Source organism: Homo sapiens, chromosome 3 (assembly GCF_000001405.40).
Source record: "Homo sapiens chromosome 3, GRCh38.p14 Primary Assembly".
Taxonomy (NCBI): domain Eukaryota; kingdom Metazoa; phylum Chordata; class Mammalia; order Primates; family Hominidae; genus Homo; species Homo sapiens.
The window spans coordinates 112,484,857-112,511,029 of NC_000003.12; the positions used below are offsets into that span (position 1 = coordinate 112,484,857).

A 26,173-nucleotide genomic window follows, 5' to 3' on the forward strand; every position below is an offset into this window, starting at 1 on the left:
AATTTTTCTTGAATGGAGGAATGAACCGATGATGAATGTAGGCTTGCAAGCAGGCATTAGAAATCAAGAGTACTCCCTCTGTGCACAAACAAGGTATTATAATACCTCCTATCTCTCAGAGGCTAACACTGATGTTTGTAGTGTAAAAATGACACACTGAGACAAATAGCACAATTCTATTTTTTTTAATTAATTTATTTTTTTTGAGATGAAGTCTCGCTCTTGTTGCCCAGGCTGGAGTACAGTGATGCAATTTCGGCTCACTGCAGCCTCCGCCTCCCAGGTTCAAGCGATTCTCCTGCCTCAGCCTCCCCGGTGGCTGGGATTACAGGCACCCACAACCACGCCCGGCTAATTTTTGTATTTTTAGTAGGGACGGGGTTTCGCCATGTTAGCCAGGCTGATCTCGAACTCCTGACCTCAGGTGATCCACCCGCCTCTGCCTCACAAAGTGCTGGGATTACAGGAGTGAGCCACCGGCCTGGCCGACAAATAGCACAATTCTAATTGTCCATCTGACAAGCTTGTTAACACCCCTTTTCTGCCTGTTCTGAATTATGCATATCCATCTTATGATACTTAGGACACACAAAGCTATCCCCCAAAAGTTTGTCTTATCAAATAAATATTTCCCGAAGAGGAATAACTATCACAGTTGCTTTTGGCTGTTACTCAACTTCCAATTATCAGTTATTTGATTTCATTTTTTATTTATGTATTTTTTGAGACGGAGTTTTGCTCTTGTTGCCCAGGCTGGAGTGCAATGGAGCGATCTCGGTTCACTGCAACCTCCATCCCCGGGTTCAAGCGATTCTCCTGCCTCAGCCTCCCAAGTAGCCGGAACCATCAGTTATTTTTATTCCTGCTCTTATTATCTCTGCTGTTTTTCTCAAGCATTCATATCTGATGACAGGAAATTTTCAATGCTAAAAATGATTAAAATAAATACATGCAGTAAAAGAATAAAAACTTCTGGCCGGGCACGGTGGCTCACGCCTGTGGTCCCAGCACTTTGGGAGGCCGAGGCGAGTGGATCACGAGGTCAGGAGATAGAGACCATCCCGGCTAACACGGTGAAACCCCGTCTCTACTAAAAATACAAAACAAAAAATTAGCCGGGCGTGGTGGCGGGAGCCTGTAGTCCCAGCTGCTCGGCAGACTGAGGCAGGAGAATGGCGTGAACCCGCGAGGCGGAGCTTCCAATGAGCCTAGATCGCGCCACTGCACTCCAGCCTGGGTGACAGAGCGAGAGTCCATCTCAAAAAACAAACCAACAAACAAAGAATAAAAACTTCTACTCCCCCCCAGGCTCTTATATAATGAAATATCCCTTGTTAAGTCACTATAGGTTTAGAAATTCTTTCATGTTTAAAATTTTTATCAAAACCACTAGTGGTATATATATTCCACGATCAGGTGGTACCGATGATATTTTATTTTAGGTCTAGAGTACATCATTTGAGCAACCCCTTTCTCTATACATAAAAATATTTTCAGAAATAATCATGAGATAAAACAAGTAATAAAATGGCCAGAAAAGAAATATAGACAATGAATATTTTCTTGTGCTGAACTTCATGTATAAAACCATACAAATGAAAAAATGTTTTAAAAAAATTAAAATACAAAAAAAGAAAAATGCACAGGTATTTATTCAATCATTTTTATATCCACCTAAACAGTATGAACTTTGATTCTTTAGTTATAGTCTGATATAATAGTTTATGTAAATAGTTGTCCAATAACTAATAAATGGATTGTATTAAAACTGAAATTCTGCAAAGATACAATTTAGGTAACTACTAAATTGTAACACTAAAGTTTTATTTTCTAAAGTTAGTTTTAAAACAACATTAAAAAAATTTCAATTGTAAAAATATTAATCAATCTAACATTTTATGCATGAAATAAAGTTGCCAAGCCGAAGATTTTATATATCACAGTTTGTATCCTTTTCACTGTTTTAAATTTTAAACACAAATAAAAATTCAAGAAGTTTGCACCAAATGACAAAAATGAAACAGCTCCTGTTCTGCTTCTTTGTCTCAGCATTCTCTGTGGTATTATTGTTTATTTAAAATTGAATGTTGAAAGGCTGGAGTATGTAGTACCACAGAGATGAGGACACAAAGTGTCCTTGGAGGAAACTGGAGTGATCCTGGACTTTATAAATTTGCTATCAAAATGAACACAAGTAGCTGAATGGTATATGTCCAAGGCCAGCTGTATAACTGGGAAGTTCTCTGAGTTAACTTGCAAGTAGAATGCAATGTTTGTCAAATGATATATACTACAAATGTGCTAATTTGAAGTTTACATATATATCATAAAACTCAACAGTAACCATAGTATTTAGAACTTAGACCAAAAATATTTTGAAGGGTAAATATTTCACCTCTGACATTGTTCATGTTTGCTAGTATGTGGTGATAATTAAAAGGAAACCGGCCGGGCGTGGTGACTCATGCCTGTAATCCCAGCACTTTGGGAGGCCAGGGCGGGCGGATCACCAGAGGTCGGGAGTTTGAGACCAGCCTAACCAACATGGAGAAACCCTGTCTCTATTAAAAAATACAAAATTAGCTGGGTATGGTGGCGCATGCCTGTAATCCCAGCTACTCAGGAGGCTGAGGCAGGAGAATAGCTTGAACCCAGGAGGCGGAGGTTGCGGTGAGCTGAGATCGTGCCATTGCACTCCAGCCTGGGCAACAAGAGCGAAAATCTGTGTCAAAAAAAAAAAAAGGAAATCAACTTTTAGTTGTTTTTAAATTCAATACAGACAATGGAGCCACTTGTTCACACCCAGGAGTCTGGATATCCCACTGTCCTTGACACATTAGTAACGAGACAGTTTCTAGCACAAAGAAGAGGCTGAAAGTCTTACACCACTTTTCAATTTTGCCATTAGATTTTTGTTGTATTATTTTGGATATGATATAATCTCTCAGAGCTTTCAGATCCCTCAAGAGGAAGACAGTCTTTCTGGCTGGGTCAATCAGGAAAGGCTTCATGGGGGAAGATAAATCTCTTTCTTCCTCCAAGCCAACCCCCAGGCAAATTTGGTCCTCCTCTCATTATCACAGTATAATACCATCATCTACCTAATCACATTAGCCAGAACCTGGGGAGCCATCTTAGTCTCCTTCCTTGTCACCGTCCCATTCCATCAGCCATGAAGTTCAATTGATTCAGGATGGAAAATGTCTTCCATATTTGTTTCCATGACACTGCCTTAATTTGGATCTCATTCTGTTTCATGTGGATTATTGTCACAGCGTACCAAATGGTCTTCTACATTCCAAACTTGGCCTTGTTTCCCTCCCTCCACCTCAATTCTCCACATCACTGTCACAGTTTCCGTTTTCTTTTTTCTTTTTTTTTTTTTTTTTGAGACAGAGTCTCGCTCTGTCGCCCAGGCTGGAGTGCAGTGGCGCAATCTCCGCTCACTGCAAGCCTCCCGGGTTCACGCCATTCTCCTGCCTCAGCCTCCTGAGTAGCTGGGACTATAGGTGCCCACCACCACGCCCGGCTAATTTTTTGTATTTTTAGTAGAGACGGGGTTTTACCCGGTTAACCAGGATGGTCTCGATCTCCTGACCTCGTGATCCGCCCGCCTCGGGCTCCCAAAGTGCTGGGATTACAGGCGTGAGCCACCGCACTGGGCCTAGCCCAGTAAGTTTATGCAAACTTACCATACCCTCATATCCCCACTCCCTAGCAAATGTCTGATGCTATTTTGTGTGAGATGCATCACTCCTTTTTTGTTGTTGTTGTTGAGACGGAGTCTCGCTCTGTCACCCAGGCTGGAGTGCAGTGGCGCGATCTTAGCTCACTGCAACCTCCACCCACCGGGTTCAAGCAATTCTGCTGCCTCAGCCTCTGGAGCAGCTGGGAATACAGGCACCTGCCACTGCGCCCGGGGAATTTTTATATTTTTAGTAGAGATGGGGATTCACCATGTTGGCCAGGCTGGTCTTGAACTCCTGACCTTGTGATCCACCCGCCTTGGCCTCCCAAAGTGCTAGTATTACAGGCATGAGCCACCGCACCCAGCCGACATGCATCACTCTTTATAACTACATATGTGTTCATGTTTCTGTCTTCTATCTAGTCTGCTACTTCCTTGATGGTGTGTTACCTTTCTATGTAGTACTGGTTGCACAGCAGAGACAGCTAAGCCCTTAGAGAGGTGGGCTAAAAGGCACTGAGGTGAAGAACATATGCAGCTCAACATACCTTACAGTGGTTAAGTTATAACTACCAAAGAAAAGCTAGACTTTACAAGTATTCAGTTTGAAAAGGCCTGATTTATGTCCACTCAGGGGTGGATATTAAAAATATTTAACAAGTGACACTCCATGGCCATCCAGCTACACAGATCAGCTGATCAGAAAGGAGTGCCAGCCACAAACAACTGTATAGTCTCGTAACTCCCAGCTGAGCAAGTGTAGTTGCTGAGCTGAAGAGAGTAGGTAATTTTTGAAACCAATCAGCCATTTAAAAAAAAAGAGGGTTATGATTATGAATATTTTATAAAATATCATTATTTCTTATTTTTAAATACCATATGTTTTGATTATAACCATTATCATGAGGAAAATCTCACCTGAGTTTCACTATGTCTCCATTGAAAAATTCTTACAAATTTATGGAAACTTCAAAGTGGTTGCAACCATTCAAATAAATGAATGACTGTAATGAATGCAGATTGCCTTAACTTGAGCTAAGAAAGTGTCAGAGTTTAACATAGAAATTAAACAAATGATTTTTTGAGAAACTAAAATGATTACTAACGGTATAATAAACCAATAATTTTCTGTGACATCAACCAGGATTTTAGCTTCTATCAGAAAATACTATCACAGACAAACAACAAGCAAACCAAAACTTCAGACGCATGCTGGGGAGGCTACAGAAGGAATGAAGTCTTTACACTCAGGAGCAAAAAGGCATCCAGATGGTATGTTCTGCCTTACTTTAGAAGGCTGGAATGGTAGAGAGGAGGGGAGAGATGATGGCCACCAGGGAAGGGAAATAATCTGTCTCTCAAATCTTCCCTTGAAATTAGAGTTTAGGGATCCCATAAGGCAGTGGTTTGTACATAGTCAGGGCAAATCCACACACAGCAATAGCAGCCATGGAACCATACTTCAAGGATCTTGGGAGGACATTGACTTGCATACCTTGGGAAATCACACGGACGACATCAGAAAACCCAGGTAGCATACTTTCCCATCATAAACTAGCTCACATACACTCACAAAATCAGAAATGTGGTGACATGAGGTTAGGGTGGGGGAGTTCCACCTCATATAGAAAGTATTCATTTAATGTATTATGTAATGTCTATTAAAGGTATTACTTTAACTCTGTGGTAAATAAACCACTCCATAAGTCAGATATTCTCAGAAGTACTAGGAATACCTGGAGAAAATTAAGTAAGTATGACACACACAAACATATGTTAAAATCAGAGCTTCTTTTGTAAAAGTGACTATTGTTACTTTAAGGAAAACCCTGTGATTGTTCTCACGAGTACAGTGAAAACTGACTGGCCCTCAGTCCCTTCTGTAAAATGAAAGTTTATTTACATATGTCTTTCCTGAAAAACAACACTAAAGATACAGATCATAGACAATACAGATCACAGACAAGGATGTAGTATGCAATAGTAGATTTAACTTATTCTCTGTGGATATCACCTGATATTGCTCTTTAGACAAGAAGAGCCATTTTCTCCCTGGGTAAACACACACACACACACACACACACACACACACACACAATGTAAAATTTCCTTCACAAAAATGGAACTGGAAAGTATTAATGCCAAGAATACACAGGGCATAAATCTACATTTATGCCCATTATTTAAAAAAAAAAAGCAACCATGAAACAAGAAAATTGAGAGCATTTTCACAATCATCTTTTATTATTATTTCCTCTTAAAAATCCCCTTCTTATAAAAACATATCTTCTTATATTCATTTATGAAATTTTTCTTTAAGTTTACTTTCATATGGTATTAGCACACTTTAAAGCAATTTCTTCTACAGTTAGAATTTCTCATTGTTAGTGTAGTATGACTATTTGGCAAGTAAATTTGAAGACTGATCTCTTCAATGCAGTTGTATTGAGCCACTGAAGACTTTAAGCTCTGTATCTCTTGATTTTATCATGTTTGAAATAATTCTGAACTTGTTTTGTCTAAAATCAGTCATTCTAGTATTTGTCATTGCTTTTTCCGACATTTAGCAAAGCTTACAAAGTCCCCATGTCATTTCCTCTCCTTGAGATATTTAAGAGTAGAACAAGAAGAGAACCTTAGAGGTCATGAGGTCAGATGCCCAATGGAAAGTTTAAGTTACATTTAGGAGATCACCTCTAGAATCACTGCTACACATTCTTTGCCACTTGCCCACAGGTACACTCCACCTCACATTATCTATATACTGTAGACCCAACCTAGATCCATCTTAACACGAGGAAAAAAAGAATATGACTAATATTTTCAAAGTTCTTATTATGAGGTAGGCACTTTTAGATACCAAACATGTATTGTTTCATTTGACCCTCACAATGATTTTATGAGGGAATTACTATTATGGCCTTTATTTTTTTAAGTTGAGGAAACTGGGTATTAGAGAATATAAGCCACTTGCCCAAGATCACCAGCTGGTAGGAGGAAGAGTCAAGGCTAGGACTTTAACCCAGGTGTGGCTAACTCCAAAGCACAAGCTCTTATCCAGTAGGGTTGTTGTGAAAGCAAATGAGAACATATAGGAAATATTCTTAGCACTATGCTTGGCACATAACAACAACATAAAGTACCAGATATTATTATGTTTTCTGATAGGATGAATTTAGGGAAATCACACAGAAGTTGAGTCATTGTCCAGAGGTGTAAAGCCTATGAATGGTAAAGACAAGATGGAAACACAGAAGACTCTGCTGTGAAAAATTACCCCCAACAACCATTCTAGGGATCAGCAGTGGTGCATAATAACTAGTATATACACCAGGCAAAAATATATCTATATAATAGAGAGAAGAAAGGCAGCACATCCAATATAAGCATGCTCTTCTTTTATGTGGGAGAGGAAACTCTACAGAAATATATTAACCAGCAAGGCTTGCCTTGGTCAAAACTAGAATATTGAAAAAAACTTTGTCCTTTGATAATTTTCTAAGCTTGCTTTCAGGACTTCTTCATTACATCTCTGCCAAGTCACAAATGTCCCCTTGCAGATCTACCCTACTGGTCACTGACTTTGCTTCTCTAGGCCAGAGGATTCATATGCATTGCACTCCTTAGAGCCCTGTCTACTCTGTGTAACAAGGATGAGTTTCTGGTGGTTTTAGTTGGTCAACATGTAATTATCGCCCTTGAATAGTAAAAGCTTCTAGTCAACTTAATGAGTCCTAAAGAACAATGATTTAGAGAGACTTTGATTGCCTGTTACACATAGGCCCTGTCCTTCAGAGAGGCTAAATTTTCCACCTTTGTCACAGGGATTTCAGGAAGAAACATAGGGCAGCAAATGTAGACAGCATACCTGAGAAGCTGTTGACAGTAGCATCAGTGAGTGCCTCTGGCATTTGATCAGAAACCAACATGAGTATTTCTAAATATTGACTTCAGTGGAAGGATTGTTACTTGTGATGTTCAGATTAAGTGTGGCTTATGTATTATGATTGGAAAGGGAAAGTCCATCTCTACTTTCTTCCCAGATACTTCCTCACATCTCTAATACATTCTACCACAGACATCACACTGAGATTCACTGGCATTTTCAAAGCCCTTGAAGATACTAAACAATACTTATGTGGACAGAATCTGCTAAATGTCTTCCAATATTAATTCTCATCTTCTAATATTATAGAGGAAAATGAAGTGGGGCCATAACCCCCCAGATAAAAATCTCAATGCCCCAGCCTCCCTTGTAGCCAAATACTGGATAATAGGCCATTTGTGATGTGTGTGAGTTCCAGGTTGTGCTTATAAGATGAACATGGTTATCAAGAAGGCAGAAAAAAGAAATTAAAGAGCTCTGCCAGCTAAACTTGATGTTTTCCTGGGACTGATCTAACACTCTTCTGGACTCTGTTCTAAGTGAATCTCAAATTGTATGACACCTCTGCATGCATACACACAGACACATGCTGCACACAAGCCACTTCTTCCATTGAGATAAACATGTAAATCAGGTCCATAACCATGAGAGTATACCAGAAAGGTACAAAATATTGAGCTTATTTTGAGGTAAGAGAATGGAGAGTATTAGAAAAGTGAAGCAAATCGCATATGATACAATTCACTGACACAATACAACTCAAGCGCATGATTCTCAAGCACTATTAGCTTTTCTTGGTGACCAAGGATAAGAGTAGATAATGCTTTTGGCATTTTTCTCACAAAGTCTTCATGACATAAATGCCAAAAGCAATTGCAACAAACTGAAGAACTTCTGCACAGCAAAAGAAACTCTCATCAGAGCAAAAAGGCAACCTACAGAATGGGAGAAAATTTTTGCAATCTACCCATCTGAAAAAGGCCTAATATCCAGAATTTACAAGAAACTTAAATAAGTTTACAAGAAAAAAACAAACAACCGCATCAAAAAGTGGGCAAAGGATATGAACACACAGTTCTCTCTGTTTTTTTTTGGAGACAGAGTCTCACTCTGTTACCCAGCTGGAGTGCAGTGGTGCAACCTGGCTCACTGCAACTTCAGTCTCCTGGGTTCAAGCAATTCTGCCTCAGCCTCCCAAGTAGCTGGTCTTACAGGCGTGTCCCACCACGCCCAGCTAATTTTTGTATTTTTAGTACAGACAGGGTTTCACTATGCTGGCCAGACTGCTCTTGAACTCCTGACCTCAAATGACCCGCCCTCCTCAGCTTCCTGAAGTGCTGGGATTACAGGCGAGAGCCACTACACCCAGCCTAAACAGACACTTCTCAAAAGAAGACACTGGCTGGGCGCGGTGGCTCACGCCTGTAATCCCAGCACTTTGGGAGGCCGAGACAGGTGGATCATGAGGTCAGGAGATCAAGACCATCCTGACTAACACGGTGAAACCTTCTGTACTAAAAATACAAAAAATTAGCCAGGCGTGGTGGCAGCCGCCTGTAGTCCCAGCTACTCGGGAGGCTGAGTTAGGAGAATGGCATGAGCCCGGGAGGCAGAGCTTGCAGTGAGCGGAGATTGCGCCACTGCACTCCAGCCTGGGCGACAGAGCGACACTCTATCTCAAAAAAAAAAAGAAGACATTTATGCCACCAACAAACATAAGAATAAAAGCTCAACATCACTGATGGTCAGAGAAATGTAAATCAAAACCACAAGGAGATAACATCTCACGCCAGTCAGAATGGTGATTATTAAAAAGTCAGGAAACAATAGGTGCTGGCAAGTCTGTGGAGAATTAGGAATGCTTTTACACGGTTGGTGGGAGTGTAAATTAGTTCAACCATTGTGGAAGACAGTATGGCAATTCCTCGATCTAGAACCAGAAATACCATTTGACCCAGCAATCCCGTTACTGGGTATATACTCAAAGGAATATAAATCATTCTACTATAAAGACACATGCACACGTATGTTTATTGCAGCACTATTTACAATAGCAAAGACACGGAACCAACCCAAATGCCCATCAATGATAGACTGGAAAAAGAAAATATGGTACATATACACCGTGGAATACTATGCAGCCATAAAAAAGAATGAGATCATGCCCTTTGCAGGGACATGGATGAAGCTGGAAGCCATCATCCTAAGCAAACTAACACAGGAACAGAAAACCAAACACTGCATGTTCTCACTCATAAGTGGAAGTTGAAAATGAGAATATATGGACACAGAGAGGGGAATAACACAAACCAGAGCCTGTTGGGGAGTAGGGGGAGAGGAGAGGGAACTTAGAGGATGGGTCAATAGGTTAAGCAAACCATCATGGCACACGTATACCTATGTAACAAACCTGTACATTTCTGCACATGTATCCTGTTTTCCTTTTTTAGAAGAAATAAAGAAAAAAAAGAGTAGATAATAATATCAAGAGTAATTTATAGAAGACTTTTGTGAACTCCAAATTTTTATTTGTGGTTGATTCCCAATTGTCACCCAATGTTACTTTAACAGGACTATTAAACTAATGAAATGTTGGACTAAAAGAAAAAAAATTAGCTAAATATACACAGCACTGAATGGCATGCCATGCACTATTCTAAGTGTTTTACAGAATTAATTCACTTAATAGTCACAACAACCTTATAAGATTATTCTCCCATTTTTTTAGATGAGAAAACTGAGAACCAGAGATTTTATAGTCACAAAACCATTAAATGGCAGACATAGGATACTAATCCATGGAGTCTGGCTTTAGAGTCCCTGATCTTAGCCACTATACCACACAGCTTCTCCAAGGAAAAAAGAAAATGATTATTTTTTGGACCTGATTACAAATGCCTGTAAATATTTTTCTTTTAACAATTCTGAACTCTACATAAAGATGAAACTCACAAATAATGGAAATTAAGTAGGAAAGTCCCAATGAGGCAAGATAAATAGTTTTGACGTCAACTTTACAATAGAGGAAACTTTGGTAGTAGGACAGAGGAAGCAAGAAATTTAAAAACTTCTCTGTGATAGGAAAAGTATATTCAAGGCTGCAATGAGCACAAGGTTAATCTTTTCATGCTTTAATTCAAGAAGTCCTGTAACCACAGAATGCATTCCTAAACATTTATTTAATATATGGCAGGCATTGTTGTAACAATACATAGGCACTTGGCAGAAGACAGAGCTCTATCTCTAGCATTCCTCCATATGCACATTTCAATAAGAACAAATAGCTGAAGCCATAGAAATATGCCTTATAAAGATACTGTGCTACAAAACCTGAACTTCAAGGAATGATATTTTTTGACCCAAAGATATGGCCAGTTTGTAGTAGAGCAAAACAATCTGTGTGGGATGTGGAACACGGTGTTTAAAAGCTGGTCCATGGACCATACTGGACCATCATAATAAAGGGAAAAAAATGACACAAGCCAGACCAAAATGGAGACATAGCCCTAACCACTGTATTCTCAAAAGAGCCAGAATACAGGTGTCTTTCCCTTACTGAACCAGACTAGGATTGCTTTTTTTAAAAATCACAATAACCAGTAATCAATCAAACAGTTCCAACTGCCTTTATTCTGCATCATATATGGTGTTGGTGATACCCAGACATTAACTGCAGTGTTCCTGCCTGCCTAAAAGTGGAATCCTTGGTTGATCCTCAACTGAACTAGGGTCTAGGGCAGCCTCAGACAAATGGTCCAGGATGACAGGGCAGGCAATGGACAGAGACACTTCCACTTGCAGTCTAGATCTTGCCAGCATGATCTGCCCATGAAGGGAAGATATTGACATTTTTATTACTTCTATCAGGACAGAAACTGTATGCCACACACTGAGGGGCAAGTTTCTCTAATTTTTTAGAGAAACACAAAAAGTAAGCAAGCATACTTTTGTAATAAAGAAGGACCTTAAACAGGAAGTTTGTAGAGAACATTACATTTTTTCCAGCCTTATTATATATGCAGCCTCACTCCTAGGAACAAGGACACGGATCTCACATTGCTTTGAAGTAGGGGGAAAAAATCTTCAAAGGCTATCTTTAAACACTGAAAATGTATTACTGTAAAGAACTCAGCAATTAAGTAAATCACAGGAAATCCCCAAGATATAAGGTATTTAATGTGGTTTTAAGAAATGGAGCCATCAGCTCTGCCTGGGAGAACAAATTTCACCAAATGTTCCTTCTCTTAACCTATAGCTTTAATTTAATGCAACTGCTGCTGCAATCCATTATATCAACTGGTATATATCTGACCAGTACTTCACTCAAGTCTTTCCCTTTTTTTTTTGAGTGCAGTGGTGTGATCTCAGCTCACTGCAACCTCTGCCTCCTGGGTTCAAGCTATTCTCCTGTCTCGGCCTCCCGAGTAGCTGGGACTACAGGCACCTCCCAACACACCCAGCAAATTTTTATATTTTTAGTAGAGACGGGGTTTCACCATGTTGACCAGTCTGGTCTTAAACTCCTGACCTCAGGTGATCTGCCCGTCTTGGCTTCCCAAAGTGCTGAGACTAAAGGCTAGGGCCATGGCTCCCAGCCATATTTCATTTTCTGAATAATTTGATTCACTATATTTTGGGCTAAATATATTGCAAAATATATTGTACTTATTTATTTTATTTTTAACTTTAAAAACTCAACTATTTTAAATAATAATGTTAAAACATAATTCTCATTTAATTACATAGAGGTTGCATGGTGAAAATAATTTAGGAAAAATACCACTAACATTTACTGAGCTTTAAATACGTGCACTTACTATGCGAGGCACTTTACCCATATTATTGCATCTACAGTCTTCACAGCAGCCCCATAATTTAGGTACAATTATTACCTGTATTGTACAAATGAGGAAACTAAAGAGAAGAGAAGAGACTTAATCAATGCCATACAGTAAGTGGCAGAGCCAGTAAATTAACCCAGTTCTAACAGCCAAGTTCACTTTTGCAAATGCTAGGTTGCACATTGGGAGAAATAAAGGTCTTACCCCACCATCAATGTGGTTTAGCACTGAAACTCATTGTTCTTAATTTCATAGAGAGTAGTTTATGTATCCTTCAAATGGGGAAGAAATCTATTTAATAATATTTGACTCCAGTTGTAGCTATGTGACTGTAGGCATCTGATGGAAGGTGGAAAATTCAGTCAACCATCTAAGCACCTAGTTGACTTAATACTAGATACTTACAAACATAAAGATGTTTGAGTAACTAAGGACTTTTTTACTTTGCACTTGGTTGTGTGGCATCCTGGCATCATAGAGACATATTCCAAACTACACAGTTTAAAATTATAGATAGACTTTCCATAGAACCTCAGTGGCCAGATTTTCTAATTTAAAATTGCAGTAGCCAAACTGATAAATGTGTGCTTGTAGGGAATAATAAGACAGAATATTTAAAACCTGAAAAATCACTGGGCATGGTGGCTCATACCTGTAATCCTAGCACTTTGGGAGGCTGAGGCAGGTGGATCACTTGAGGTCAGGAGCTCCAGACCAGCCTGCCCAACATGCATTGCATCCATAGCTTGGCTGACTTTCTTAAAAAACAGGTTGATGGCAAGAAAAGAGAACTGAGTAGATGTTATAAATAGTTAAGTACAAATCTATCACTACTTCTTGCGAAAATGCTCAGGCTGCCACACTGATGATGAATAGATAGCTCGTTCTTCCCAAACTGAGTGCAGTAGAGTGTTGCAGTGCTCAGTTGGGTAGGACAGATGTTGGATAATTGGGGTTATCCAACATCTCTACTAAAAATACAAAAATTAGCTGTGCGTGGTGGAAGGTGCCTGTAATCCCAGCTACTAGGGACGCTGAGGCAGGAGAATAAATTGAACCCGGGAGGAAGAAGAATCGATTGAACCCGGGAGGCAGAGGATGCAGTGAGGCGGGATCACGCCATTGCACTCCAGCCTGGGTGACGAGAGCAAAACTCTTGTCTCAAAAAAATAAAAAAATAAAACCTGAAAAATCAGAAGCTTCTGATGAGCCACTCATAGGCTTTTCCTCTTGATAATATGTGGGTTCCTATGCAATATAAGGTAGGAAGCGACTTTACAATAAAAAAGAAATTGCCTTTTTTTTTTTTTTTTTTTTTTTGCCTGTATAAAGTCTTTGCAGGGGTGGCTAAATATCATCTTTGCAGAATCCAACTTATTTTCTGTGTTCAATTGACAACCAAGTAGGAACCATTCCCTTTCAACAAAATAGAAGCAATGACGAAAAGTTCTGCTCCTATATTTTGTAGCATTTTCTCAATCGGTATTCTCAAGGCATACATCCCAATGAAGCAAGTATAGAGATTTTATTTAGAGGTAATATTATTTGAGGGTAACCATGGAGATATGTATAATTCCGATTATCCAACAACTGTCCTACCCAACTGAGCACTGCAGCACTCTACTGCACTCAGTTTGGAAAGAACGAGCTATCTATTCATTATCAGTATGGCAGCCAGAGCATTTTTGCAAGAAGTAGTGATAGATTTGTACTTAACTATTTATAACATCTACTCAGTTCTCTTTTCCTACCATCAACATGTTTTTAAGAAAGTCAGCCAAGCTATTGATGCGATGCCTATGATTAGGCAGGTGAATACTATGTTCTAATTTGGTTTATGCTCTACGATGTCTTCGGTAAGCAAATGTAACAGCTTGGTTTCATCTACGATTACCCACTTCGTATAAACGTTACACCGTACTAAGTTCAGCAAGGGAGAATGTTGCCTCCAAGACCCCCTGAGAAATAAAACCAGAAATAACCTAAGCAGGTGCCTTACCATGGATGTTCCAGATGTCCAGATATGGGATTAAGAAGAAGACCCAAAATAATTTCCCAGTTCCAAGCATGGCAGGCAATGTCTTCATTTCCTGCACATATCAGTGATGGAAAAACTGCTCAAGTAGAAGGCTTTGCTTCGTCTTCTGAGTGCTGCAGAGTTGGGTCAGTTTACCTACCCCAGTGGCATCTGTGAAATAACTAAAAAAAAAAAAAAAAGAAGAGAGAGGTGGTAAGAGAGGAGAGTAGGAAGAGCCTGGATGATTTTGTGAAAAAAAGTGAACAGAAAGACGATGTGGTACTCTGTTCTGTGGTTTTTGCTTCTTGTCAGGTTGGCTGTTCACTTTCAAACACTGTGATCTGCAAAGCAGCTCAGTCCTTAACTTCTCCTTCCGCTCTACCACGTTTTTGCCCCAGGTTGAGGTTTTTCCTGCACTCAATGTTCAGTGAAATGAGCAATTAAACTTTAAAGAAATCTGTATTGTTGCAGTCTTTAAGTTGAGATTTTAATCAAATTAAGGTCAGGAAATTTATGGTAAAACTATCAATGGTAAGTATACATTTTCCCCTTTGTGATAGCTTGTGATTATGAAACTTCTTTTATGTAAAAGATTTTAGGTTTCTTTTTTTTCCTGTACATGTCACGGTAAGATGAGGATGCTTATTGTCATTAAACCAGTGAAGATTTATCTCAGGTTATGGAGAAAATGAGTGACAGGAAGCACTTCCTCAACAGAAGAAGGAAGAGCAGCCGTCTTTAATCTGTGGATACATATCAATGGAACAAGATCATCATTAATATTGGCTACATGTTCTCTCTAGATAATAAAGTTCTAATCTAAAGGAGATCTTGAATATCAATTAAAGGAAATTTCCATTTTAAACATTCTTCATGCAGTTGTTGTCTCGATGAAGTAGAATAGAAACAGTAAAGGAAGAAATGGAAAAGTTCAAGATCAGATAGCACAGGCCACCATAGGACTGTTTTCTCCACATCCACTTGTAATAATTAGCTTAGCTTATAGTCATAGGAGCTAATCAAATTCATCTGCCATTTGAGACTCCAAATGAGAGATCTAGATTTGTGGCATTAGTGATCATTGACAGAAGTCGATTATATAAGTTTTTTCCTCAGAGACTGATGATTTTATTCCAAGGCCAAACTTCAATAGTTTTAAGTTCAAGGAAAGTTTTAAGAGCAAGGAAAGTGTATAGATTGCTGGACATTTTGACCTGACATGGGAAACTGATGGGCAATACTTAATTCAGAGCTCCCAGTTGAGTTGCCAAGGGTAAATTAAAATTAAAAAACAGTTATCATGTATTTATTGAGTCAAATAGACAATGTGCTATGGTTGGAGATGAATGATGAATGAGTTGCTATTGCTGATTTTAAAGAACTCGTTCAATCAGTATTACGACTTCCTCACATCCACCTTTAGTGTTGGTCTTATAATATAGTATAATACAGAGAGGGTACACATAGCCTTTTAGAATTTCTGTTACTAATCAAATAAACATCCTGGGAAATATTAAGGCAGTATTTTCACAGCTCCTTCCTTTTCCTGTGTTCACAGTGAGTAAAAGCTTCTTGAGGCAGCTGAAGCAAGGCTCATTGTCCCTTTAAAATGGCCCACAGGTCAAAAGCCATAACCTTATGGCTTATGGGTTACATAAGCCCAAACCAGAGAGAGATCATATTAACTTTATCTCAGCTTAAAACTGTTATGTCACTATTTTAAATATTTTTCATATAAAAAGTCCATGCTAATTAGACAAAATTCGGAAAAAATCTTATGTAGCATCTAATGTATTTTTAAAAGATTTATATATTTCTTGCTTTTATTAGCATGCCTAGCACTTTATCCCTCCACAGGTAGAGTCCTGAGTGTCCCACTGTAGATAAAACCCTGCCTCTGAATCTCACTCCTGTCTTCGTTCTAGTTAAAAAAAAAAAAAAAAAAAGGAAAGAAGCCAGACTCAGAAATTAATTAGCTCAGTAACAAGTCAATCTTGCCTTAAGCTTATAACTTTTGTAATCCCATCATAATTATGTATATTGTTTGATCCAAAAATTACAATTTTCATTTATATTTGCAAATTTAAAGAGTTTACTACATTCTTGAAAGCGATGGCATTACATATTGAAACAATTTTAAAAACATGAACGTCTAATCAGTTTTATGTTGAAAGACAAAAAGGAAATAGAATTTAGTATCTTCAAACTCTCTTTACAAACATCTCAGGAACTACTTGGAGGGCAAATTTTTCAGTTCACTTGCAGACTCAGTTGCTTTCATGAATGATGAAGCAGCTATACTTTCTGCAATATTTTTCCCCCAGGTGATCAGAGAACCAGCAATCACAAAACATGACACAGGATCCTGGAAAAGTCTTGCCCCTGATGTTAGACAACCCCAAAGAGATGAATCTTGGTACTGATCTTTTTAACTTTCCCCAAAAACATTCCATAGCTTTACTGTAAAAGTAGTCCAGCATTTAAAATCTTTGACATTTTTCTATTTGATATCATTTTTTCACTAATGTTATTGTAAGCAATAGTTTCTATACATTACTGTGTTCTATAATCAACCTGGACACTTTTTATAAAATTGGTGGAATTTTTTAATCCTATCCATTTCCATTGAATCAGAATCTCACAAGATGAAGGCCAGATATCCCCATTTTCAGAAAGCTCCAAAGGTGATTTTGATATACTAGTTTGAAGGAATATTTAGAAACCAATTATGAGTTGGCAGGGGATATAAGCTTTTGAATCACACATGTGGTATCAAAGCTTTTTCAGTTATTAGCTATAGAAGCTTTCATAGATTTTCTACGTTCTTAGAGTCTGTAGTAGACACAGAAATGCACTTCTCAGATCCCCCTTCAAGGATGTGTTTGCTCTTAGATGGGGGGAATGCAATAGGCAGAGTACATCCAACTGTAAACTTCTCCCAGGTCTGCTCAGTTGAGACACATCTTGACCAAGGTCATGCTTTCCCATGACAGCTTGCATCCAATGATGGAGCAAGGAAAGTGTACAGATTTCTGGCCATTTTGAGCTGACATGGGAAGCTGATGGGCAATACTTGATTCAGAGCTCCCAACTGAGTTGCCAAGGGTATATTAGGCCTACATCACAGTTTCTTCCTCTGATCCCTTCCTTTCACAGTTGTTGATCCCTAATCTATCTATGTTTGCTTCCAGAGAACCAAATCTGCTCCACATTTCATTTTCCAGTTCTTTAAAACATAGTAACAATACCTATCTGTTTTGTTGGTTAACTGAGGTGATATATGCAGGGTAATCAGTAAATTGCAACTATAATCATTCTGGAACCAAGAAGCCCTGTATTAATAAGCCAAAATTTAATGATGGTGGAACAAGTTGAAAATGGAGCAAGTTGAAAATACTTGCTAATGGGAGTCATTGTTGCATAGAGATCAAGACTCTAAAGTAAATGCCGTAATAAAGCTTCGATTAGGAGAGGAATGGTGTAGCTTAAAGATGGTCCAAATTAAAAAACATTCGCAAAGGGGCCTTAGGTCTATATGTAGCATCTCATAGTTCCATGTCTTATGAACTAAAAATCAAGTAATATGCACCCAACATTTCCATGATAGTGTTTAAAAAATTTTCATAAGAAATGTTTGATTGTTGAGTGAAGTATTATTTGTAATAATAAAACATAATAAAGTGAGGAAGCCTCACTTTTAGGACAATTGGTCTCCCCACATGAAGAAAGAATAGAGTATTCATAGTTCAAATTCTTATATAACAGTAATCAATTCCAATTGAATAATATTTAGCCCATTTTGATAAAAACTGCTATGGTTTGAGTGTGGGTGTCTCCTTGAAATTCCTATGTTAGAACTTAACCCCTAAAATGATGGCATTAAGAGATAGGGGCTTTTGGAATGTGATTAGGTCATGAGGGCTCTGCCCTCATGAAGGGAGTTAATGTCCATATGAAAGAGCCTTCAGGCTGGGTGCTGTGGCTCACGTCTGTAATCCCAAACTTTGTGAGGCCAAGTCAGGAAGATCGCTTGAGGCCAGAAGTTCAAAACTAACCTGGGCAACATAGTAAAACCCTGTATCTACAAGAAACTTCAAAACTTAGCTGGATATGGTGGTATGTGCTTGTAGTTCCATCTACTTGGGACGCTAAGGCAGGAGGATCATTTGAGCCCAGGAGTTCAAGGCTGCAATGAGTTACAATGGTACCACTGCACTCCAGCCTGGGCAATGGAGTAAGACCCCATCTCTAAAAAAGGCTTCGGAGAGCTGCCTGCACGTCCATCTCTTCTACCATGTGAGGACACAGCATTCATCCCTTTTTGCCCCCTTCCACCTTGCTGTCAGGAGGCAATAAGAAGGCACCATTCTGGAAGCAGAGAGCAACCCTCACCAGATACTGTATCTGCTGGAACCTTGATCTTGGACCTCCCACTCTTCAGAACTGTGAGATATATATTTCTCTTCTTTCTAAATTACTCAGCTTTTATAGTGAGCTATGATTGTGCCACTGCTCTCTAGTCTGGGTGACAGAGCAAGACACTGTCTTTAAAAACAAAGGAACAAACAACAAACAAAAATTACTGTTTAAAGTATATTGTCTTACCAGCACAAATGGAAGAAGATAGTCACATAAGTTTCTGCAAAGATGTTTTCCAGGCCATGGTGCATCAATGGTCCCTATTAGAAAGCTACTTTAAGCTAAGGGCAAAAAATGTCAATATGACTAATTTTCAGTTGTTAGGGAAATAATACATAGACACACACACACACGTTCCTATTCAGAAAAGGGAATAGAAGAAACATAGGTAGCCACTGGTCAATAGCCAGGGTGCCCTGCTGCAGCAGTGGGTGAAGTTTTTTAATTTGCCCACGCAATAGCCCCAGCCTCTGATCCTTGGAAGGTCTTTCTAGTTTTTGAAAATAAAGCTCAATGGGAAGCAGAATCTGAGGCAGAGACTAGTGTGCAGGAAGTTTATTAGGGTGTGCACTGGGAATCATTAAGCGTGGAGGCAGAAAAGAGAACCGAATTCAGCAGAGAGTAAAGGGAGACATCAGGATGTGATACAGTCTCAGCAAAGGCCTCAGCAAAGCAGAAGAAGGTCTGAAGCTGAGTTGATCCTTTATAGTTTTGAGTTTGGCCAAGGAGGTTGGGACTTTATATACCTGCAATGACCAGTAATTGGATGCAGGCTGTCTCCAGGAAAGGGGATTTGCTTTTGGGTAAAGAACTTCTCTTCAGCAGTGGAAAATTCCCATACAAGACTGAAGGCTGAGGGCTCTTAGCCAGGAACACTCCCCACAGTTTGGGGAAATAAATTCTTCAGTCCTGAAGAGGATCTGAATGGTGCATCCATAGCTTCCACTACACTAGCTCTCTTTCCTTGATGATCACAGCTGAGGTGGGCATTAGAGAAGATGGCTTTGGGGGATACACAGCTTCATCATTCTATTTCCTGGTTGTGCAAGTTAGGGTCCAGGTAGAGTTTTGGTGTTTAACATAGTCTATTATAAAATAGTCGTAGAGTTCTCTCAAACATCTGGTAGGATTTCTGTCTATTCTCTTTCAGTAAGTTTTGTGCACAAATAACCGCAGTTAAAGAACTTGTGCAGTCATGGATTTTTCGAGCCAAAGAGACTTACTAGCCATTATGCTCTGCCCAGCCTCCAGTTCACATTATAATGATAGCTATCCTGAGACTATTTAAAATAGGACTTGGTAGAAAGGCAATTCTTAATCTTCTCTTTATGAGCGAGTTCCCACTGTCAGGCAAAGAACTCTTATAGAACTTTTTGTAAGAGAACTTGGGGTCAGAAACTTATCCGCCTTCTAAGGCTACAGTTTTACAATTGGGGTAAGGAAGCAGCTGGTAAAATAAAAAAATTTTATTTTTTAGGGTGGCTTTCACAGCAAAATTGAGTGGAAAGTACTGAGTTCTCATATAGTCCCTGCCCCCACACATGCACAGCCTCCTTCACCATCAATGTTGGCATTAGTGTAATACATTTATTACAATCCATGAATCTATGTTAACACATCAGCATCACCCAAAATCCATGGTTTACATTAGGGCTCACTCTTGATGTTGTATATTCTATGGCTCTTGACAGATGTATAATGACATTTATTCACTGTTATAGTAACATAAAGAACAGTTTCACTGCCCCGTGAATCCTTTATGCTCTGTCTAATCATCCTCTCTCCACCCTAACACCTGGCAACCACTGTTTCTATAGTATTGCTTTTCCCAGAATGTCATATAGTTGGAATCAATGCAGCCTTTTCAAGTTGGCTTCTTTCACTTAGTAATATACATGTAAGTTTCTTTCATATCTTTTCATGGCTTTGTAGCTCATTTCTTTTTAGTGCTTAATAACATTCCATTATCTGGATGTACCATAGTTTATTCATTTATGTACTGAAGGACATCTTTGTTGCTTCCAGATTTTGGCAATAATGAATAAGCTTCTGTAAGCATCTTTGTGCATGTTTAGGGGAGACATATGTTTTCAATTCATTGAGTAAATATCATAGTTGAATTTTTTAACTGCAAGATACCAAATTACTGAAGGCTCAGCCTACTTAGATTGTGGACCACAGGCCCACAGCCTCTCTTAGCCAAGTCCTATTCCTTCTACCTCGAGTTTGAGTTGATCTGCGTCTTCATCCTAACATTTTGGTTAATGTTTCAGGCTTAGTCAGCATGGGTTCTGCCATGTAAGGATTGTTTAACACCATATAACTAGGTTCACTAGCTTTCCAGGCTGAAAATTCAAACTCTTAGTATCTTTCTGCCTACTTCCTCCATGAAACCAAAGCCACAATTTAGATTATGATATACTCTGTATACAGTCCTGATAAAAATGACTAGTTCCTACAATAGTCTCTGACTAGTTTAATGAGAAAGGAGTCATTTTAAATTTCTTGAAGTGCCAGAAAATGAACTTAGATGCTATATAGTGAGAAGTAATACAGCAAAGAGAAATGTCCAACTATCCAACAGAGTTGCATTAGCAAAAATCATGCTGCTGCCTCTGTGCTCAGTTCCTATGAAGTCAGAAACTAAACCTTCACCCATACTGTTCTGGAAAAAATTACCTCCATGACAGTGCTATCAGAAAAGTCACAAGCCTCATGATGTCCACACCATATTCTAAGTCTTACCCAGCTGTGTGCTCAAAAGCTGTCACATGCAGACTCCCAATTGCAAGGGAGGCTGGGGAATGTGATCTTTAACTTGCCTGCTTCCAGGGTCCCAGAAGATTTGAAGATAAAAAGTAGTTGGAGTGGCTCTGAAACAAGGGTGGTTTTATCCCACAGGGAAATTTGACAATGTTTGGAGACATTTTTGCTTATCACAGCTGGTGTGGGGTTGCTATCAGCATCTAGTAGGTAGAGGCCAGGAATGCTGCTAAACATCTTACAATGCACAGGAGAGACCTCACACCAAAGAATTATCCAGCCCAAAATGTCAACGGTGCAAGGTGAGAAACCCTGGTGTAAAGTGAGCAGACCTACTGTATCTACCTCAAAGTCTATCCCCTGATTGATTGATAGTCCTTGATGGCAGTGAAGGCCCTAAGATTCATTTCTGGAGACTCACAAAACAGAAATCTGAACACCACAGTCTTATGCTCTCCCCGCTGCCACCTCTCCCTCTGTCACACACACACACACACACACACACACACACACAATCACTTATTTTAAAAAGCATTGAAATAAAGATAGAGACTATGTTTTATGACCACCTGAGTTTCAGTCTTCCATCCCACTTCCCACCTGCCCCTGTGTTATTGCATCTTGAGTCTAGAAAAGCTTATGATAAATATAAAACTCTTCTTCAATCCAAACTTGAAGAAATTGAGCATGTACCTACATCAGTCTCTCACCACACTCATCTCTAGTTCCGTTTTAGACTGGGTTCCCTCAGAAGCAACCCCCAGTTCAACGATTTGAGTGCAAGTAGTTTATTTGGAGGTGTTCCTAACATAGTAGAGGGGTGAAAGAGTTAGACAGGAAAGAGAAGGAAGCAATTAATTGGTTTGTTCTCTAGCTGTGGGTTACCATTGGTGGATAAGGCATTTAATCCCTACCTCTAGGACTCTGAGAGCCAACACTGAACAATAGGCTTCAATTATCCCACTCAAGGGCTGAGAGAGTTGGCACATTTATGCATTTTATTAGTTTCTTAGAGTTCCTGTAACAAACCACCACAAATGTGATGGCTTAATGCAAATTTATTATGCAACAGTTCTGGAAGTCAGAAGTCCAAAATGGGTCGTACTGGGACAAATTCAAGGTGACAGCAGAGCTGCATCTGAAGGCTCCATGGGAGAATGTTTCCTTGTCTCTTCCTCTTCAGCTTTTAGAGGCCATTTGCCTCCCTTTGCAAATAGAAGGTGTGTCCCCTTTATCTTCAAAGCCAGCATCAGAGTATCTTCAAATTTCTCTCTGACTATGACCTCCTTCTTCCACTTTTAAGGAAGAATCCATAGGATAAGATTGAGCCCATCTGGAAAATCCCTCAGCCCTTGAGTGGGATAACTGAAGTGTATGTTTAATGTTGGCTCTCAGAGTCCTGGAGGTGGGGATTAAGTGCCTTATCCAACAATGGTAATCCACAGCTAGAAAACAAACTAATTAGTAGCTTCCTTCTCTTTCCTGTCTAATCTTTTCACCCCCTATTATGTCAGGAACACCTCCAAATAAACTACTTACACTCAAGTCCTTGAATTGGGGATAGTTTCTGGGGGAACCCAGTCTAAAATGAAACTTGATATGAGTTTCGTGAGAGACTGATGGAGGTACGTGCTCAAATTCTTCAAGTTTGGATTGAAGAAGAAGAGTTTTATATTTATCATAAGCTTCCATCTCAAGATCATCACTTAATCACATCTGGAAAGTATCTTTGCCATGTGAGGCAACTTATTTAGATTTTGGGGATTAGGCTGTGGACATCTTTGGGTGGGCCTTTACTCTGTCAACTGCATACATCTCCTCTCATCAGTCATTAGTTGAAGACCGATTCCAAGGATAGCACTAGCACTTCATCCTGCTACTCGGGTAAGTCAAGCAGGCTCTGGTAGTCAGGGAAAGCTCACAGGAAAAGAAATGCAGGTGCCAGCAACAGGAAATTAGGAAGTGTGCAGCAAAGTGAGAAGGTGAGGGATAGAGATGGGGATCAGCCACCATCTGCTGCAAAAGGCACAAACACTTTTTTTCTTTTTTTTTTTAGCTTTTGTTTTGTTTTAAGAGAGGAAGGAAGGGAGACAGGACAAAAATCACAGGGCCTATGCAAAGTTAATGTTTATATACAAGAAAAGGTTATATAAGTGTGGAAGGGAGATGCAGAGTTCAACAAGCAAGCCACTGTATTTTTTAACTCTATAGTAAAAGAGAAACACAACTCTGAAGAATCAAAAAACTTTCCCCCTTGGAAAGCGATGTATTAAAAGAAACAGAAAATATTTTAGAAAATGTTCATGTTCTTAATGTGATTCAATAGTTCACTGTTCCTTTTGAGAAGATGATGGTGGCAGCAGCATAGTTTTTAAATCTTTCCAAATACTCACATCCAAATAAATAGGGTAACTATATAACAAAACCAAAAACTCATGAATAATTTTTACAAAAAAAAAAACAGGTAATGAAGTATATCACAGAGCACAATATACAAGTAGATGAAGACAAATTACCAACAGGCATAAATCTGCATACAACAACTTCTGTGCAAGAGGAAGTAGAGGGATGCAATGGGACATCTGACAGAGATGAGAACAAGAGAACCCTCAAAATAGCTAAGAGGAACTCACTGCAGCACACAGTGGGCCAAATGGGTTCAGCAGCTGAACCTGGGAGGGGTATTCCAGCCTCCATAAATTTTCAAAACTAAGCCACCATGGCTTCCTCCCAGGGAGCCAACACTGTATAGAAATTGCTGGGAGTGGCATCAAAATAGAAAAGAAAGAATAGTAATAATAAAGATGAAGAAAAGAAAAGGTTACTAAAAGGTAGAAAGAAAAACAGTTCAAAAAGCAAGCTACTATATTTTTTTAACTCTCTAAAGAGAAAAAGCAAAACAGAAAATAGAGCCCTCTCAAAGTAGAAAAACTACCCTGTGTCATTCCTCCTTCTAAAAGTTTGGAAAAAAAAAACTAAGAAACAGGAAAGTGGTGAGGTCAAATCCCATACGAAGTTATTAAAAGAAAAGAGAATAAAGAACAGAATAATTTTCCTACAAACAATGAAAGCATGCCAAAAAGACATGTCCACAGAATAGATTCTTAAATTAAGTAACACAAGATATGAAAGAACAACATAAGTTGGAATCCAAAAAACTCAAAACGAGGCAACAATTCAGAAAAGAATTAGAAATAAAGAAACTCATTTTAGAAACAAAGGCTAAACAATAAGGAACACAAGAATGACTCAACTCAACAGATAATGCCTTTATAAAAAGAGAAGGTGAAAATAAGACTTTTAAAAATGCACAATAAATTAATAGATAAAAAGGATTGAAAGTAACGAATATTGAAAGTAGGCCAAGAAGATTTAATATATGGTTAACAGAAACTCCTTATGAAGAAAATCAAAGCAGGAGAATACTAACAAGTATAATTTTTTAAAAAGCCTCGAATAAAAAAATAATGTTCTCCTAAGACCACTATGTGTGTAATGTGGAACAAAGTAATTGTGGAATCATCTACTTCTACCAATTGCTATGTCTTTGAGAATTATAATTCTCCAGTTCTCCATGTAAAGAAAGGAAATACAGATAAAATATAAAGTTAGGTCAAAGACTCTGGAGAGTTGGATAGAATTGGAGACCATTAGGCTAAGTGAAGTAACTCAGGAATGGAAAACCAAACATCATATGTTCTCACTCATAATTGGGAGATAAGCTGTGAGGATGCAACAACAAAGGAATGATACAATGGTCTTTGGGGACTCTGGGAAAAGGGTGGGTGGGGCATGAGGAATAAAAGGCTATACATTGGGTACAGTGTACACTGCTTCGGTGATGCGTGCACCCAAATCTCACAGATCACCACTAAAGAACTTATTCATGTAACCAAGCACCACCTCGTCCCCAAAAACGTATTGAAATTAAAAAAATAGCCATTTAACACTGACTAGTTTCCTAATATCTATATCCAGCTGAACCACCCTGGGTAATGAAAAATGTCTATGTGTTCCTTCTATATCTGCCCTGATTCTTCTGACTTCAGGGAAAGAAAAGAGGTAGTACAAAAACCAAGTAGTAGTAGTAGAACCACCTTCTAAAGAGGACCCAAACAAGACAACAATTGTCCAAGGATGACAAAAGGTTTTAGGGCAGCCATAGTCAAAGACACAATTGACAAGGAAATTTGTTACCTCTGTGGCATACGACAATTTAGCATAACAATTATAACTGTTACTGATAATGTATACCAAGTCATATCAGAATTATAGGAGTTTCCCATGATCTTGGAACACATATCAATAACACAGTTATACAACTACAGCCCAAACGAAACCAATCACCATTTCATATTTGACAACGCTTCCTGTGTAATTTTTATACTAAATATGCCAAATTATGTCATTTTTGGATTCTAGGGAACCTAATATCTTAAAGGATTAATTAGGTCAGAAAAATACATAATTTTAAATTTGATTTTGGAAAGTCTGTCAAATATTAAAGGTTTAAAACACTTGATATCACAGGTCATTGTAAAATAAGTCATTCATTTGAC

General features: G+C 38.8%; 1 protein-coding gene across 5 annotated transcripts in view, besides 4 other annotated features; it reads right to left on the reverse strand.

Moving 5' to 3' along the window:
• Positions 1–14,768, reverse strand: part of BTLA (B and T lymphocyte associated) — a 35,659-nt gene extending 20,891 nt beyond the window's left edge. For 3 of the 5 annotated variants that reach the window (XM_047447496.1, XM_017005748.3, XM_011512447.4), the window contains exons 1-2: positions 14,716–14,768; positions 14,415–14,614 (exon numbers count right to left, since the gene is read on the reverse strand). In XM_047447496.1, coding sequence (XP_047303452.1) covers positions 14,415–14,502 — 88 coding nt within the window. In that variant the 5' untranslated portion in view covers positions 14,503–14,614; positions 14,716–14,768. Of the gene's footprint in view, positions 1–14,414; positions 14,617–14,715 lie in introns of those variants that run through there. The other 2 variants (NM_001085357.2, NM_181780.4) reach the window with 1 other exon arrangement.
• Positions 7,268–7,317: a silencer, noted in NCBI's record as "silent region_14604". NCBI's record gives its function as "represses an Ori minimal core promoter by ATAC-STARR-seq in GM12878 lymphoblastoid cells {active_cell/tissue: GM12878}" and the evidence as "EXISTENCE:reporter gene assay evidence [ECO:0000049][PMID:35858748]".
• Positions 13,080–13,199: an enhancer, noted in NCBI's record as "active region_20241". NCBI's record gives its function as "activates an Ori minimal core promoter by ATAC-STARR-seq in GM12878 lymphoblastoid cells {active_cell/tissue: GM12878}" and the evidence as "EXISTENCE:reporter gene assay evidence [ECO:0000049][PMID:35858748]".
• Positions 14,068–14,117: an enhancer, noted in NCBI's record as "active region_20242". NCBI's record gives its function as "activates an Ori minimal core promoter by ATAC-STARR-seq in GM12878 lymphoblastoid cells {active_cell/tissue: GM12878}" and the evidence as "EXISTENCE:reporter gene assay evidence [ECO:0000049][PMID:35858748]".
• Positions 14,208–14,337: an enhancer, noted in NCBI's record as "active region_20243". NCBI's record gives its function as "activates an Ori minimal core promoter by ATAC-STARR-seq in GM12878 lymphoblastoid cells {active_cell/tissue: GM12878}" and the evidence as "EXISTENCE:reporter gene assay evidence [ECO:0000049][PMID:35858748]".
• Positions 14,769–26,173: the final 11,405 nt, after the last annotated feature.